At 41.1% G+C, this 17,993-nt stretch overlaps 1 long non-coding RNA gene across 1 annotated transcript in view, besides 1 other annotated feature; it reads right to left on the bottom strand.

The window, feature by feature from the left end:
* Positions 1-13,484, bottom strand: part of LOC124904517 (uncharacterized) — a 72,424-nt gene extending 58,940 nt beyond the window's left edge. Inside the window, exons 1-2 of the long non-coding RNA XR_007066885.1 lie at positions 13,273-13,484; positions 7,348-7,465 (exon numbers count right to left, since the gene is read on the bottom strand). This is a non-coding gene — a long non-coding RNA (uncharacterized LOC124904517). The remainder of the gene's footprint in view (positions 1-7,347; positions 7,466-13,272) is intronic.
* Positions 2,024-2,909: an enhancer, noted in NCBI's record as "NANOG hESC enhancer chr1:222029846-222030731 (GRCh37/hg19 assembly coordinates)". NCBI's record gives its function as "activates a minimal SCP1, AML or CMV promoter by ChIP-STARR-seq in naive and primed H9 embryonic stem cells {active_cell/tissue: H9 hESC(naive and primed)}" and the evidence as "EXISTENCE:reporter gene assay evidence [ECO:0000049][PMID:30033119]".
* Positions 13,485-17,993: the final 4,509 nt, after the last annotated feature.

Genomic DNA, 17,993 nt, shown 5'->3' with positions numbered 1-17,993 from the left:
AGTGCAGGGTAACGAGATGAGTTATACAATTCACAGTCTGGTAGATAATGACTGTCAGACAGAGAAAAAAATGTAGCATTCAAAATCAATAATTAGATCATTTCATATTTTTAGAGGGGTCATCTTTTACAGAAAAACAATATAAATTGTTTTCCAACTCACAAAGGACAAAAAAATGAGACCCTTGGGAAATGAATTCTTCACAATGCAGCTCTCTAATTGATCTGTTTGGAATTCTTTCTTGTACCATGTTGATGCATGCTAATTGGGAGGTGTTTCTAAGTAGAATCAGCTTGGATCACAATTGATTGGATGCGGTATAGCTGGCCTGCCAGATCTGGGAGGAAAGTGTGTATGAAAGCTCTAGCTTTACAAGTCCCACTAAGAGAGCATTCATTTGGATGAGGCAGAACACAAATCTAGAGCTCCAGGGATGACACAGCCCTTGGCAACCTTTCAGAAGTGACACACCATGTCTTCATTTACTCCCTCCTTACATCCTTACAGAATGGGGCAATGGATAGTGGTAGAACTTTGCCCACAAGCACTGCCCATTAGGAAGTGGCTTTTCTCAGCCCTATTTTCCATGTTCAAAATATGCCTTATAGAAAGGTGGACTGAATAACCACTGATTTAACACACTAACTCCAGACAGCTGATGGTACACCTACACCATTCTAGCTTTGTCCTGCTGGGCCATGATTTCTTTTTTCTTTTCTTCTCTTCTTTCTTTCCTTCCTTCCTTTTTAAAATTTGTAAAATTTTATTGATTTATGTATTTATTTTTTATAGAGACAGGGTCTTGCCATGTTGCCCAGGCTACTCTCAAACTCCTGGGCTCAAGCAATCTGCCTGCCTCAGCTTCCCAAAGTGCTGAGCTAACAGGCATGCACCACCATGCCCAGCCCCTTCTTTCTTTCCTTCTTCTTCCTCCCTCTCTTTTCGCTGCCTACCTCCCTCCCTTCCTCCCTTCCTTCCTTCCTTCCTTTTCTCCCTTCTCTCTTTCTTTCTTTCCCATTTTAAGAAGTATGTAAAATTCAAAATGTTTCAGGAGGAGGGATTAGATGTACTGCACTTAAATTTATTTTATACCTTACAACAGTATTGCTAATTTGTAAGTACAAACATCCAGTTAAAAAAAAAAGAATGTTTCTCAGGCCAGGCACCTGAAAATAGGGACTAATAAGATCATCATAAAGGAGAAAAAGGAAAAAAGAGGAAAATGACCAGCCAGGCCACATTTTATAGGTCTTGTCTTTTTTTCTTGGATAAAACAGAGGGCCAACCCCTGATTTGGAGGTACTAAGTGCTTTCTCTATTAGACTAACTATGCACCGTTGTTGTCTACAATCTATATTTATTAACTGCAAAAGAGATGTGCCATGAGGATAATTTTGTGTCCCCAGAAATTTAACTGCTGAATTTGGTAGCATCGTAGCCTCATATTAAACAGGCAGTATAGTGCACACCCTCTGCCCCCACCCCAACTCCCTTCTTTATCTGGTATTTTCTTCCAAAAACTATTATTCGGTAATATCCAAAGGACATGTCTTGATATTAAATGTAAATAAGTACTTTCAGAAGCATATAGTGTATTTAATGACATTTAATAAGTTCTGGAATAGAACATTTCTTTGGCATTGTGGCATCATTGAAATGAATGAATGGTGACAAACCGTGACTCTGTGTATAACTGGGTAATTCAGTGTAGAATTGTCTATTTTTTTCCCCAGAGGAATGTGTCGCTTTTGAATCTAAAATTGACTTTAAATTTCCAGTTACTGAGAGTTTTGCTGAGAGACTAGGGTTATGCAGAGATTGTGCAAAACAAGTTTACTATATAAAAAAGATAATTACCTGTTTACCAAGACCCAATTTTGGATTATTTTCATGGGAATTCACTGATTCTTGGGTAGGGGAAGGTGAGATTGTTATAGTTTTAATTAAACTACACATTTACTTTTTCAACAATTGTTTTTAACTGAAAACCTACTATGTGCTGTACAAAGCACAGGAATTGTAGCATAAGTAGCAGAGGAATTTTCCCTCAAAGAACTTGCAAACTAGCAGGTGGCAGACAGTAATAAAAGCTGATACAGAGAAACAAGCAAAGCAGAATGAGCAATTGCGTAAAGCTGAGTCCTGGAAGGCTGCCTGTAGGGGGCAGTATGTGGTCTGGCCTTAAGGACAAACGGAATTTTCACCGGAGAAGACTGTGGCGGGGGCTTTTCAGGAGGAATGAATAGGAAGAGTACAGGAGGCTGTATAGCAGCAGGTGGCTTTGTTTGGTTGGAAAACACTCCAAGTGAAAAGGCATTGTGAAGAATGGAAGAGCTACTGAGAAACCAGCCTATGGAGTTTGGCTGTCTCTCCTAGTCACAAATAAGGAGCTGTTACTGGTTTTTGTCAAAAGAACAGGATGATCACATCTGTGCCTTAGGACACTTTAGATGGGGCAGAACAGGTACAGGGGATGTGGTGGGGGAAGAAATGACTCGATTTCAAACAAATCAAATAAATTACTTTGATGTTTATATGGTGTCTTAGTTCATTTTTTGCTACTTGATACCTGATACTAGGTAACTTATAATGACAAGAAATATATGGTCTCACAATTCTGGAGGCTGGGAAGTCCAAGTTTAAGGGGTCATCTTCTTGCTGTGTCATCCCATGATTGAAATTGTCATCCCATGATGGAAGGCAAATGGGCAAGAGGGAGCAGGATGGGGTGAAACTTGCCCTTTCATACAGCACCAGTCCCACCTCTGAGAGTGCAGCTCTCAGGGCTTAATCACCTCTTAAAGGTCCCACCTCTTAATACTGGTGCAATAGCAACTAAATTTCCACATGAGTTTTGGAGGAGACAAACATTCAAACCATAGCAGATGGATTCAATTCCAGCTTATTAAAGAGTAATGTATGGTGAAGAAATGCAAAAAAAAAAAAAAAAATTAAGAGGTCTGAGGTCTACCCCTAGCTTTGCTACTAATTCATTTTGCGTCAGGATGAGTCACTTTACGTCACTGATCCTTAATGTTCTCATCTGTTTAGGAGAGGGAGGTGTGTGGGTTACTCTATTACTAAGGTGATTTGAATGATCATGTATCATAACTACATCCATCATTTCCTTCTTTGGTATTTTTATCTCAAAATTTGCAAACTGATTTAAACAGGATATTTAGGGTTATTTATTTTTTTTTTTGGCCACATTCAAAAACAATCTGTCTTTCTTGAGATGGCTACAGAGCATTTACCTGTCAGATTTCCTCTCATTCCATCTTAAAATTTGTCACTTAAATATTTTATCAAGGAAAAAGAGAAGACAATGATCTACTGCCATCATGTCTCTATAATTTATACTCTCTAAACTTTAGAGTCTACATACTTCTATGTGCTGGGAAACTGTTCTTAAGAATAACTAGTAGCTTTGGAAAGTGGAGAGGTGTGGCATGAGGGACACCTGGTCAAAAGTAGAAGAGTGAGATAACTTGTTTTTTTGTCCATTACTTGCTTGGATAAGCCTCTGCCTACAATTTGATTTAATCATGGCTGTACTGTTAAAGGGCAATGCGCATTTTCTAAAAGAAGCCTTCAAGGACGCCTTTGATTGCTTTTTCAAGATGGAGAAATGTTACCACGATGAAAATTATGCAGGGCAAATATACATGAATAAAAGTGTTATAATGGAAGTGACTTCTATAAAATACTCAGTGCTTAGAAAGAAAGAAATGAGAATTCTGTCAATCAATCAAGTGACTACATATTTGGAAATGTCTGTAGGAGATTCCGTGTTTGTTTTTTTTAAAACTTTTGGTCCAGATGTTTATGTATGGTTTCTACATTTTATTATTTGATCTCCATTTTATGTTTATTTTATATAGAGATCTTTTTTCACCAACTCATATAGTCTACTAAGAAAAGCAATCCTTTCTGGACTAGCGGGAATTTGACACAAAGACAGAACCATTGAATGCAGTGATTCTCAACTTCTTATACTCTACCATCTTAACCAAGAGCTTGTCAGTGCAGTCTGCAACCATGCTTTTTCACAGTCAGATGTTTTCAATTTATCTTCCAATATGATGTTGACTCAAACATTTGGCAGATTTATAATTTCTCCATTCTCCCCTGCCACTCATTCTCAAGATTTACATTTTCTCATTTAGCAGTTGTAACAGCGCTTCACCCTTTCTATAAATCTTCATGAAGTTTCTAAACCCAGTGCCATGCAAATTGAGAATTACTACCTAACATTATCTTCTGAAGAACTGAGCATTACATTTTATAGTTCTGTGTTAATTAAGCCTCTGCCTGAGGGAATGAGCAGGTATGTTTCCACTTTTTTAACTTACAATGCACACAGACTAATTCTCCCCACTGAGGAACTTAGTTGGGACAAGCAAGGTCTCCTCATCCCAAGTCTTGCCTGGGATCCCTGACTTTGGCCTGAAGGCAGGAGCAATAGCTCCCTGACATTCCATTTTTGCCTTCTTCCATTCCTGTGGCTGTGGTATGGGTAGAACCCATTTCTGCCTCTGCCTCTGTGAGGGTAGAAGCTTCCTGGCCTGTCATCCTTACCCCTTCCATGACTTCTTCTCCATCCCCATTCAGCCACTGGGAACCTCACCTACCTCTGAGCTCCTCTAGCACAGATGCCCAGCATTTAATCATACTCTGCATTGTCCCTGCTTCATGAATGTTGGGTCTGATGTTGACTATTAAACTATCAAACTCCCAAAGATGGAGAGTATGTCCATATTATATTAGAGTTATTCCATTACGTATCTCAGCACTTTTTACAATGATGGTCACAGATAGATAAACCCTAAATACATGAAGGTAGAATTGCTCAACAAATTAAAAAAAAAAGAAAGCAGGAATAACTTCACTATTCACACACCTGCTGCCAAATCCACCCTCTCTGGAACTGTTCCTAACACACCGAAATGGAGGGGTTTGGAGCTGTGTTCAAGTTCCTTGGAAGAGGCTCGTAATGTATGTGCGTGTGTCTGTGTGTGTGTATGTGTATGCGCACGTTTGTTTGTCTGTGTGTGTGTGTGTGCATGTTTGAGGTTAGTCTTAGGGGTGTCTTTGCGTAAGGTACATGCTTAGAAAAATGATCTGTGATTATCTGGCACATTATGTCTATATTTAGGGGATGTAGACTCCTTATGAGTCTTTTTGTAAAGAGAGGCCTGACAACCCTACAGCATCTCTCAAAGCAAAAGCATCCCTGTGGTTGGTCACCAACTATTATGTGACCTTGAGCACATTTCTGTCTCTTCATCTATGAAGAGACAAGTTCTCATCTGAAAGTTTAAAAAGTGGACCGACTGACTCCATGTTTCCTTCTAAATTTGGGTCCTGAGTACTAGGTTGTTGCTACTGTTGTCTCCACCCTTCTTCAGAAATTTAGCAAAATGCACATGTCATGTTGGCAGCATCGCCCAAGTTCCACTCTGATGTCCAAGGGCAGAGTGGAGCAGCACACCCTGGAGCTGCCTAGGTGTTCTTGGCTGCCGCTTCCCCCTTTTTCCCTCCTTCTTCCTGCAGATAGAAGATGATAGTGCCCATTCTCTGTGTTCACACATTGCTTGTTGACCTCTGCTCCTCCTGTGTCATAAACATAAGCTTCAAAGCTGAACAGCCCTTACCCCATCTTGTCTCCTCGGGAACATGTAGTGTCCAAGGAGGTGATGCAGGAGAGGCTTCTGTGTCCTGGTGGAATGGCAGGACTAGCTATGATCCTGAACCACAAGCACCTGGATGAGACCTTGGGTCTTGTTTCTGCCTTTCCTAAGCAGAAATTCAACTAACATTTAATGACGATCCTCAAATGTCGTAAGTTATACTTGGCAAGCACAGGAATATATGAGAAGCAAATCTATCTTACAGAAACCCACAACATGGTTACAGAGTGAGACAAGGCAATGTGAAAATGTGGGGTACATGGAGGTCTACACCGGACACTCACCTCTGGAGAACTGGCATCATGTTTGACAGACTCTGTGGGAGACCACAACATAGAGTTTGAGACCAAAAATCAGGCCTATGAAAATGGGACTCAGATCCTTGAAAGAAGAAGATAGAAGATGACACTAATCTCAGATAATCACTATGTAAGACAACTCACCTTGAAGCTGTCTCTGTGTAGGACCTGACATGGCTTTCAGCAAACAGACTGAAAGACTGGTTTTGGTTGGGACCCTGGTTGGTGCCATATGAATTATGAATTTAACCCATTTAACCCAGTCTAGAAAGCTTGTCCTGAGATCCCGAAGACAGATTTCTAAGAAGATGAGAGTGTGGCCACACTCTGGTGAATCTTTTACCTGAATTATAACCTAGTTGGGAAATAGCCCTCTCCTGCATCAGCTATAATTTTGCAGGAGTGGAACTCAAGCAGAAGTCATTAATGCAGCTCATGATCACTGAGATAGGCAGTGGAGCAGAAATGGGTTTCACCAGTGAAAACTTCCCATGGTGTGGCAGAAACTCCAGTGCCCCAGGCTACATCCCTTACCCTTCCCACTTTCCCACTTTAGTGAATAAGGGACACTTTCCAACCATCAACCCTTGCCTGAGAGCTTTGTTTGTTTGTTTGTTTGTTTGTTTGTTTTGAGACAGAGTCTCGTTCTGTCACCCAGGCTAGAATGCAGTGATACAGTCTCAGCTCACTGCAACCTACGCCTCCCAGGTTCAAGCAATTCTTGTGCCTCAGCCTCCAGAGTGGCTGGGATTACAGGCATGTGCCACCACACCCAGCTAATTTTTGTATTTTCAGTAGAGACAGGATTTCACCACGTTGGCCAGGCTGGTCATGAATTCCTGACCTCAGGTGATCTGCCTGCCTCAGCCTCCCAAAGTTCTGGGGTTACAGGCATAAGCCACCATGCCCAGCCTGTTTGAGAGCTTTTGACTGGTTTGTCCACTGGTGCAGCAGGCCAGAAATGCCAGGGAATTAATTTCTATTTCACAAGAGCTCTCAACCCATACTGATGGGGTTAGGGTGTCAATACCCTCCTTTCCCACCTCTCTGGTTGTGTCCTCTGAAATGCACGTTTCATGGAGTTCTCCTAGATTTCCCCAGAAGGACTAAACTTCAGTTGCACACAATGGTAATTTGCTTCTTGGTAATATATCTTTACTGACTGCCTTAGTTTCCCTGTCTCACATTCCGTGCCCCCCACACCAGCATTTCCTGTGATTGTCTCCCAACTAAACTACTTGTACCCTAATCTTTGTCTCAGCATCTCCTTCTGCAGCGAGTGGAAGAAACTCAAGACAAATCCTCAGTAAAAAGTTGTGAGATACCTGGAAGCAGGTGGGCACAAGAATGGATCATACCTTAAAGCCATGGGATGCCCAGTGATTGTGGGTTGGAGACTCCGCACTGTAAATGACTTCTGTTACCGCCATGATTTTCACCTTTGTCACTGCTTCCCCTTCCATTGGAAGGCGTGACCTGGAGAAGCAAGGGTGCCAGAAAGTGTACACAGGTTATTATGGAACTGTCAGAGGGGATGAGGTAGGACAGGAAGAAGCAGCTATCTTGGTTGTATGCCTGCTGCATGCTTGGCTGGACTGGCTGGGGAGAGAAAGTGAGGTGGATTCTTAGTACAGTAGCATTTCTCTACTAGTATGTCCCTGTCACAGCTGTGATTTTTTTTTACCTGTACAGCAAACCTGTTTACAGGACAGGGTTGGCAGTTTCTTCCACCCCAGACTTTCCTAAAGCTTCCACATCCCTTTAGCTTGGAGGCTTCTGTCTGGGGATGTGGGTCCTCAGAGCCATGAACCCCCCTAGATAAAAATCTTGGCATTTGGCTTTCTCAGCTCTTCCTCTCCCAGTGTTCTCCTCTTGGGACTTTCAGTTCTGTACTTGGCTTGGATATTTCTTATATGAGTTATGCTATAAAAATAAACTGGTGATGAAAACAATAAGAAATGCAGACTAAAAACATGGCAAAATCAAATTGGTCCACTTTTTCTGTTTAGAATTCTCCTAAATCTTAGGTAAGGAAAATTGTTAATAACCTTCTCTTCAGTAGCTTCCATGATGCCACACCCCCAGGTCTCCTCACCAGCTGTGGGTAACCTCTCCTTCAGTTGGTTACTCTTTCATTCCTATAGGTCTTTGCTTTTCTTTCTAAGGCAGAAAACCCTGACAAGTGTGTTTGGGCAACTCCCCCCTGCCCCAGTCTGCTGGGGCTCTCAATTCCACATGGCCTGCATGCCGCTCCTAAACCTGGTTGATTGTAGGCAGGACGTCTGAGATCCAGTCATCACTCTGTGCTACCACCCTGGAAGGTTGGGCCTCATGTTCCACGTCAAATTACTGCCCTCACTGCCTGGCTACTGAGGACACAGCTTTCATATTCTGGTTAATTAGGGTTGAACGGAATTCATAAAACAGCAGGTATGGGGGCTGAAATCCAAGAAGAGCAAGGGAGGTCAGTCAAAATTGATGTATTAACACTGCTGCTTCCAAACAAAATAGGTTTCATCAGTACTACTTCCTGGATCTGCAGCCTTCAACAACAACTTGAGGTGGAAGGGTTAGTTGGCATTCTGCACCTGGCTTACCAACTGAAAATTGAACATAACTTTGTTTAAAAAAAAATAGAGGGAAAAAATGTTTATTTTTGAGCATTATCATTATCCTTAAAGATGTCAGAAATGTGGGCTTATCTAGCTCTTTTGTCTGCGACACCCTAGGGTCATAACAACAGATAAGATCTCATGTTTTCTCATTCTGTCCCGAGGGAGGCAAAGAACTGTCTGATTAGGGTATTTTATAGGTGTGTTGCCAGTCGTGCAGAACAACCGAGCCACTCACCAATGTCACATAGCCAAGTTAGTAGTTCCACTGAGGGAAAATATAAACAAAGAATATTGTGAGACTTTTACATTTCCATGACTTAGATTCTTTGAGTACCATGCTTTTAGGGTCATTGAATTGGATTCTTCGGTTGTGAATAACAATTATTTTCTAGAGCAATGATAACCAATTAGAAATTTATATAGAGATTTAAAAATATTTTTACTGTCAATATTAATCCATTATTTTAAATAATATGTTATTTCTGGATTATGGTTATTAGTAAATTGCTGTTGTTTGAATGTTTGTGCCCCGCCTCCAGATTCATATGTTAAAATACTAACTTCTAAGGTGATGATATCAGGAAGTGGAGCCTTAGGAAGTAATTAGCTCATGAGGGGAGAGCCCTTGTGAATGGGATTGTGCTCTTACCAAAAAAAGACCCCAGAGAGACCCTTGTTACTTCCACCATGTGCAGACATAGCAAGATGACGTCATCTCTGAGGAATCAGGGCTCACCAGGCATTGACTCTGCCAGCATCTTGAATTTGGACTTCCAGCCTTTAGCACTGAGTGAAATAATTTTCTGTTGTTTATAAGCCACCCAATTTATGGTATTTTGTTATAGCAGCCCAAATGGACTAAGACAGTAATTATAAATATGTAAGAACATATTTGAACTTTTACAAGTGTATGTGAATTTCACTGACCTGGAATTGTATACCAAGGACCTAGGGCATTAATATAACAGTATCTTATGACTGTAGAATTTTTTCAAATGACAAAGTGCTTTTGCATACATTTCACATTCAAATACATTGTATTATTTTAATTGTGTAAAGACAAATAGTAAAGGATAGAGTGATAAAGCCAACCTGTTGGTAACAGGTAAAACCAGGTCTCTTTCTGTAGCCCTCCTTCTGTATCTCATCACCCACTCTAGTACTTGACGTTAAGAAATTTCTCATTCAACCAACCTGAGGATTCTTCACACTCATAGAAACTGGATTCCTGTTATTTGCAATTGTTTCTAGGACCAGAAATGAGTACATATTTTAGTTGTTAAAGTTGGTCCAAATGTCTACCATTTATGCCTGGTTTACTTGTCTCCATACTAGTAAGGCTCATACAGAACTTGATAACTGTTAACAGCACTGTCTCCCAGCTTGGCAGTACTCTCTGAAATAATAAGGAAAAGAAATGTAGTAAGGCTTTAGTTATCAAGCACCTGAAATCAGGCCCCAAACCAAACCAGCTGGTTTTTCAGTCAAAACATGATCACACCTGTCAGCAATTTTCAACACTTCATATTTTCAAAGGTAAGAAAAATATATTTTCAACTCTCAGTCCAATAGTCACAGAGGTAGGCTGATGGAAGTATAGCAACATAATTAAACACTTGCGGTAGATGAGGTTAAAAATAGTCATTCATAATTTTTAGACCCTGACTCAAAATTCACACCCATTTATGACATCCTTCTGGATTAACTGTGTACATTCAGAACACATGTGTTTAGCCCTCTACTCTTGATTGGTGCTTTAATCCACATTATATTCCTTTGCCCTGGCTCATGATCTACTTCCAATTGTTCCAGAGTTATTTCACTCTCAGTCATCTCTTGGAAGGCTAGAATCACATCTTTAAATTTTTTTCAATCTTCCCTCCTCCCAGAAAAAGGAAATACTGAAAACGGATAAGCAGAATCTGCAGTTAGAAAATGTGGGTTAAAGTCCCAAGTTGACCATTCACTAGCAGAGAGAAGGTGGGCTCTTGTTATTTAGCTTTTCTTTAAAGAGCCTTGTCTTTAAAATAATAATAATATATTCCTCCCTTACAGCCTAGTTGTAAAGATTAAATGAGATGGTGTATGTAAAACACTCAATCTCATGCCCAGAGCCTTACAGATCTCGTGTAAGGGTCATTTGTTTGTTGCAAGACTACTCATATACCTTGCACTTGGTAGACACTTGGCACATAAATGTTCACCCCACATGTGCACCCTGGGCTTAGGCATCTGCAGACATGGTTTCTTGGTCACTTATGGCCTTTCTCTTAACTAAGGAAGAACTGCTTTGAACCACTTCAGAATAAGAGCCGTCTTCCTTCTTGTAATTCAGTTGCTTTACAAGTGGGTCATCTATCTACTGGCTTCTGAAGGCATTTGATCTTCTCAAGAGAATGTGATCATGTCAATGAAGTAAGAAAGAAGCCACTGCTGCCCAAATGGCAGCCCACCCAAGACTCCATCTTTTTAATTACTAGGTGGCTTGCTGGTATAATTGCCCAGTAATTGCCTGAACTTGTGTAGCAACAAAGTGTGTTTATAAGTTATCAGCCATGCAATAAATGTCCCACTCATTCACACTGGCCAGGGTTTTGAAGGTTTGAATGCCACTTGCCTTGATACGGGGCTCAAAGTGCTTGATACATTTATCTTCAGTGCCTTCTTGAAATATGTTTCTTCTTGTTTTCTTTCTGTGGGCATTCTAATCATGGCCTAAAGTCATTTACTTGCTTCTCTGTTCTATAAATCCCAAGTAAGCTTTACTTCAGCAAGTATGTAAAACAGTTCGCTAACATACTGAGGTTTATTCATCTATTTCTTAATAGTGTATTCATTAGAATAGACCAAAGCTAAACAGAAAGAAGAGTAGACAGTGCTGAGTAGGCAATGCCTGCTTGTGTTTCTGTGACTTTAACATGACTATATGTTAGAGACATTGTTGGGATGTATCATTAGGGCTAGACATAAGAAAGTTGTTAAGTAAAGACTAGTCAGAATGAAACATGTCAGAATTTTTCACTCTTTATGCACTTAAGTATGGTTGTTAGAATGACTTATTTCTGATAATAAATTGTTTTTCGCCAGTAGAAGCCATTGACGTTGGGGGCATCAAAATGTGTGTTTGAAATTGAACATTAACAGCACCTAGTCCTTATGATCAAGTTAAACTTTTGGGGATGTGAAATGTATAATGTAGTAGAAAGTTTGGAGAAATATTTTGAGTCTAGGCTCTCCCATTTGCAATTTCTGTGACAATTTACTTCAATTAATTATGTCCTAGCTTCTTCATCTAGGAAATGATGAGTTTGGAAAAGATTGGTGATTTCCATAGAAAAATATCTGTGAAGCCCTGGAGCTCACATTGGGCAAAGTTCTGGTCCCTCCCTATGGGTCTCAATAAGTAGAAAGGGACCTACTTTTATCTGTCTGGCATACTGGCTTTCAAATTCATTTTTTGTAAAGTATCTGCTAAGTTGTATTGAAGTACCACTGGACTAGATGATCACATTGTCACTCTGAGTTCTCACCTTCTTCAGAACTAAACTTTCACTCTAGAATGTTTAAGATTGTGAGACTCTTGGTTTGCTCCCTATATGCACCCTGAGAGAAGGCAGATTCATCCTTCCCTGGGTGCAGCTCCATCAAGGTCAGCTTGGGCATACTGGATGGTCTGGTCGCTGGAAGCCTTGAAGCTTAGCTTTCTGGTTGCTACCCTTGGTTCCTATATATCATGGTCAGGACCTAAAAACAGTCCTCAGGGGCTGAGTAACTTCAGCCTAATGCATGTGCACAAATGGCAGCAGAGTGGGCAACCACTGAGTTGTCTAGGAACCAAAGAAGCTGGAGGACCCATAGCCCTCCCCTCTCCCAGAAGGTAGCATCATTTACTTAGATACCAGTTCTAACGATACCACCTCCCTCCCTGGAAGGGAGGAAGAAGGCAGAGCTATCTGAAAGCCCAGCATTTGCCCACGGCTAAACATTCATTAAAGAGGCTGTATAAATGATTAGATGCAACTAGGCTTGAAATTGGTGGGGCTCTAAATTATTCCCCCACTCCAATCAGTCAGTGAACCCTCAGGAAAGAACCCATCATTTTTACAGACAAAACAAAGAGTGTGTCTCCTGTGTGTGCACATTTGAGTCATGTTGAGAATTAAATTTGTGAGCTCACTGTATTTAGAAACTGTTAGAGCATTTTGCTGACGACCATCTATTCTCTGGAGTTTGAAGGACTCCTTTGAGTTGTTCAGGCCTATGCTTCCTGTGTGTCTTCACCTCCATAGCAGAAAGCACTTTCTCTTGCTTTTTCCCACTCTAGGAGTGAGATTGATTTTCAGCATGTATGTTTTATTTGGGCCCCTAAAGGGTAACATTACCCGAGAGGCTCCTTTTGCATGGATGTCGTTGTGCCTCCCTTACGCATGTGTATTGGCTGCATGGGGGATTTGCTCACTCTGGCCTGTGAACAAGACAGCAATGGGTCATTCTCCTCCAAGCAACAGCACAAACTAGACTGAGCATGACGGGTCATTCTCCTTCTTTGGGAACTGGATGTCCTGCCAAGAGCGGAAGAGAGCTCCCCACACACAGGTATCCCACCACACTGTGCCTGGCTCCCTGCCCCCTCCCCTCACCTCTTCCCAAGAACATGTCCACAGTTACCTTGGTGCCAGCAGGGGCCTTGTTCTTCGACACAGCCACGGCGTTCCTCACAGGTTAATGCGATTGTAAACATTGAGTCACTGCCAGAGAGCTTAAATGCTGAAGGAACAGCGAGTGGTGAAAAGATGACCTCACAGCCTGTGGCTGCCAAGTGGAGGCATCAGACATTGCTTCTGGCAGGCAACACGGCAGAGACAAACGGTATAGAGGGGCTTTTGAACAATGATCTCCCCAAGAAAGAGCCACCCTCTCCTGTGTGCCCCAAATGGTTAGGCTGCAGGTGGTGGTCATCATGAAAGCCACAAGGGCCAGATCTCCACCCCAGGCAGGATGACTGCAGGGAGAACTGAATCCCCTCCTTGTCCCCTCTGAGTGTTTATACTTGGAGAGAAATTGCATTTGCTAAGTTGTGTTGCATTGGTGGGTGAGGGTGGGCAGGGAGCAAACTTTTGTAAAATGTACTCAGGGATTTCTTTGAAGTATCCTAAAGGACTGCCTTTAAAAAGATGCATGTGGTAAAACTAAATAAATAAATAAATAAAGAGGTAGTAAAAGATCTTGTCATGGAGTTTGCCTACTACCAGAGGAAGATAAAGCTTAGTGGTGATGTCTCTATTATTGTCTGTACAATTACAAAGCGATTACATTACACACTAGGTGCTCAACCTGTGTTATGATGAGTAGAGGGCAGTAGACAGAAAGGCGAGACAGGGAGTACAAAGGGATTTTTGCCTTCAAGGTGCTCAGAATCTATAATAGTTCCAGAGAAGTAACTAGCTCATAAACAACCAAGTAACATGGTACGGTTCTCATTATCACACAGGCTGAAAACCCAGGAAGTGTTCAAAAAGGATGTGGAGGGATAAGAGCTGGATTTCAAAGAATGGCTGGATGTATGTGTGTGTACATATGTACATGTGTGTACGTGTGTGTCTGTCTGTGTATGCATGGTGTGTAATGCTTTCAGTGTGAACATGGTTAGCTACTTAGGATTGCTGGGGACACTGGCTCTGACCGGCTACAATCTAGCATAAGTGGAAGAAAGTATAATAAACCAAATGTCATAAACAAAGTATAATTTAAAAGCTCTGTTTTTCAAATAAAGTTCTCCAATCAAAGTTTTGAAAGCAGAAATACTTTCTTCCCATAACCTCTAAGTGCTTTGTTTTTATTATTATACTTACCTGGTTTATGATGAAGGGAAGATTTCTGCATTTGGGTCATGTCTTACATATTAGTAACTATAGCTTGGGCTTTTTTTTCCTGCAACCGGACTTAGAAAAAAATAAACAGGGGGAAAATATATACATCTGCTGGTTGGGAGGTTTTTCTCTTTCTTCTCCTTCTTCCTGAGCCCCAGGCTTCTCTCTCTACTCTCTCTTCCTCTGGAGGAGTTAGTGTGCAATTTAAAAAATCATCTGAACTACCTTCCTTTCTTCATTGGCTGGCTTTTCTTCCAGTGTCTCTGATCGCCCTGCCTTTCAGGCCCCAGGCCCCTCCAAGCTGCATGGCTGGGGGTTCCTGGAGTGCTCTACAGCCCAGGATCTATGCACAGTCTTTGTACTTACGCGGAAAAAAAGAAAAAGAATTGAGACCCACTGTCTTATGAGGTAGATGTGGTTAGGGATGGAGATGGGCAGAATCAAGGACCATGCTTTGTGTGTGTGTGTGTGTGTGTGTGTGTGTGTGTGTGTAAATCTCCATTTCCTTTTCTCCCTCATCTCAAATCCAGAATTATTTCTTGCCCTTACTGAACCATATAATCCTAATTTTACAATAAAACTATTTGCCTTAAATAGTTGTCTCTTACTCTAGACTTAATCCCATCCCCAAAGTAGGGGAAAGTAGGGAAAATTGCTTTTCCTGCATAATTTGTAACTAGGAGCACACACACACACACACACACACACACACACACACACTTTTTCAGATGTTTTAATACAGTGAATGCCACTGCCTATTGAGAATTCAGGGAATTTTTTTTATATATCAGTCTAAAAGTAAAGTATTTTATTGGGTGATGAACTTAATTCTTAGGTCCAGCTTCCTTTATTCTCATTACCCTGTTCACTATCTCTTTCTCACTTTTTCCAGAATCATTGACATTGCAAGGAAGTAATGATATGTGGAACCCCCCAAAGAGCATACTCTTTTTTTTTTTTTTTTTTTTTGAGACAGAGTCTTGCTCTGTCACCCAGGCTGGAGTGCAGTGGTGTGATCTCGGCTCACTGCAAGCTCCACCTCCCAGGTTCACACCATTCTCCTGCCTCAGCCTCCCGAGTAGCTAGGACTACAGGTGCCTGCCACCACACACAGCTAATTTTTTTTGTATTTTTAGTAGAGATGGAGTTTCACCATGTTAGCCAGCATGGTCTTAATTTCCTGACCTCGTGATCTGCCTGCCTCTGCCTCCCAAAGTGCTGGGATTACAGGCGTGAGCCACTGCACCTGGCCGTGTACACTCTTATGACTGCAGAAACTCCTTACTTTTTATCTAACATAGAGTAAAATTAACAGAGGCATGAAACTAAGACTTGAAAGTAAAGAGTATTCTAAAAATCAGTGTCTAATTTACTTTATGGATTGGTTTGTCTTTTACGCTCCTCAGTTTTTTTCTTCTTATAGTTGGATTGTGCATGTCAGCTTGTCTCTCCAATACTATCACTTCAGTCATTGCCTAGAGTCTTTTATAGATTGTTGGTGTTGCTATGGGTATTGGTGTTGCTATGGGTATTGGTGTTGCTATTGTTATTAGTGTTGCTATTATTACTATTGTTATTATTATCCATTTAAAGATGAGAAGAACCAAGACTCAAACTTTAATTATTTTTTTACAACTTTTCTCACCTCAAATGGTGTTAAGAGGAAAAATGCCAGTGTAAGACAGAGAAAGAGAAAAAGACTAGATGAAGTCTAAAAAATATGGCAAGTAAATATATCCAGAATTATAGTACAAACACCAGGAATTCTGCTGTTGTGATTTTGCAGTTTGCAAAGTGTGCTGTAGCCCAGGAGCTTCCTGCCAGTGATATTTAGCAGTGACCTTCTCTGCTTGGGGGAAAGAGACAGGGGTCTCCTAGAATTTTACCTGCTGTTAATCCTGGGAAGCATTAACTTGTCTCTAAAAATATTTTATTTTCTATGAAAACTGTTTTGCAATGTTTGCACACACTTTTTATTTAAATTTTTTCTTATGCAGACACACTGGTAACTGATACCAAGTATGGGTAATCTACGGCAAAGAAAGGAGAGACAGGTAACACCAGGAAAGGCACACTGTCTGGAGGGGGCTGGGGCAAACTTTATTTGCTAAAAAGATTTAAAAATGTTTTACATTAGTTTTCAAGCTATCAGAAAATTAAATGCAAATATAGATTTCAATGCATGCTTAATTGTTATATACAAACTTTTATGCGATAAAATGTTTTTCTTCTGAATTAGTTCTGGCAGGATTTGGAGAGCACAGGTTTCTAGCTTGACTTATAGTGAGGGATGTGTAAAAGACAGCAGAGGAGGTAAGGATGTAGGGACAAGAGGCGCCAGATGCAGGGAACACTTCAGTGCCTGAGTAAAGAGATGGGACCTACGGGCTGCCTTTATGGAACATATAACTAAACAGCAGCAGGTCAAGTGTCATCAATAGAGATCCCTATATCAGGGTCCTGTCTATACCACCAAGTCATTTCTGCAGAGTCAGACATCAATGGAACCTTTAGAGATGAAATATTTTAAGTACAAGAACACAATTCACTATTGAAAAGATTCCCTTGATAGAGAAAAGAATCCTTACTAAAACGATACTATCTCATTCAATGTACTGGCCCAAGAGGCTCAGATTTGTGAGTGTATCAGTGGAAGGGCCTTGTAGTCTTGAATAGACTTTCTAGAAACCATAAAACTGAGCTTGTGGGCTGGTGATCCACCATCATAATCAATCCATCAATCTTCATGGTGCCAGCACTGTGCTCTGGGTGTTGAAGTTTCCCCAAATATGCCAGGCATCTGCCTGCCTTAGGACTTGACTCTGACTTTCCTTTCTGCCTGGAACACTCTGCTTCTGGGTATTCACTCCTCACTCCCTTGACCCCCAACTTAAATCTTTTCCCTAGTCTGGTTGACTTGGATTAACTTACTTTAAATTGCAACCATCCTGTGGCCTGCAATCCAGATCCTTCTTACTCTGCTCTACTCCTTCCTCTTCCCAAAGCACTTAACACCCTCTAAAATACGACACACTTTACTCACTTACTATGCTTATTGTTTACTGTTGTCTCTTAGGAATCCGGGCTTTGTTTAGTTGGTTCATTGACATATCCTCAGCATTGGGATCAGTGCCCAGCACATTGTAGATCCTCAATAAATATTTCTGGAGTGGAGGAATCAATGCCTGGTTTCTAGAGTTTCTGCAGTTAACACAAAATCTTTATAATGTTTCATTTTCCAGCTCATCCTTTGGGTGCCACACCCATGATGCTGCATGATGGACGTGTGTTCATGACTTGCAGCTGCTCCCTCATGGGGTAGCATAAAGATGCATAGGACTTAGGGTCCAGTTCCAGCCTTGCCGACTGTGTGGTCTTGGGCCTCAGTTTCCTCATCACTACAATAAATTCCTTAGAGGGTTTCTGAGAGGAAGAATGAGGTGACATAAGTGAAAGTATTTGTACACCATAAAATAGGATACAGCTGTTTTCCTGTTGAGAAATACACAGAACTTTGGG

The sequence above is a fragment of the Homo sapiens genome, chromosome 1, assembly GCF_000001405.40.
Source record: "Homo sapiens chromosome 1, GRCh38.p14 Primary Assembly".
NCBI classification, from domain to species: Eukaryota; Metazoa; Chordata; class Mammalia; order Primates; family Hominidae; genus Homo; species Homo sapiens.
The sequence above is the reverse complement of the archived record's forward strand: the minus strand, read 5'-3'. Positions and strand labels throughout refer to the sequence as shown.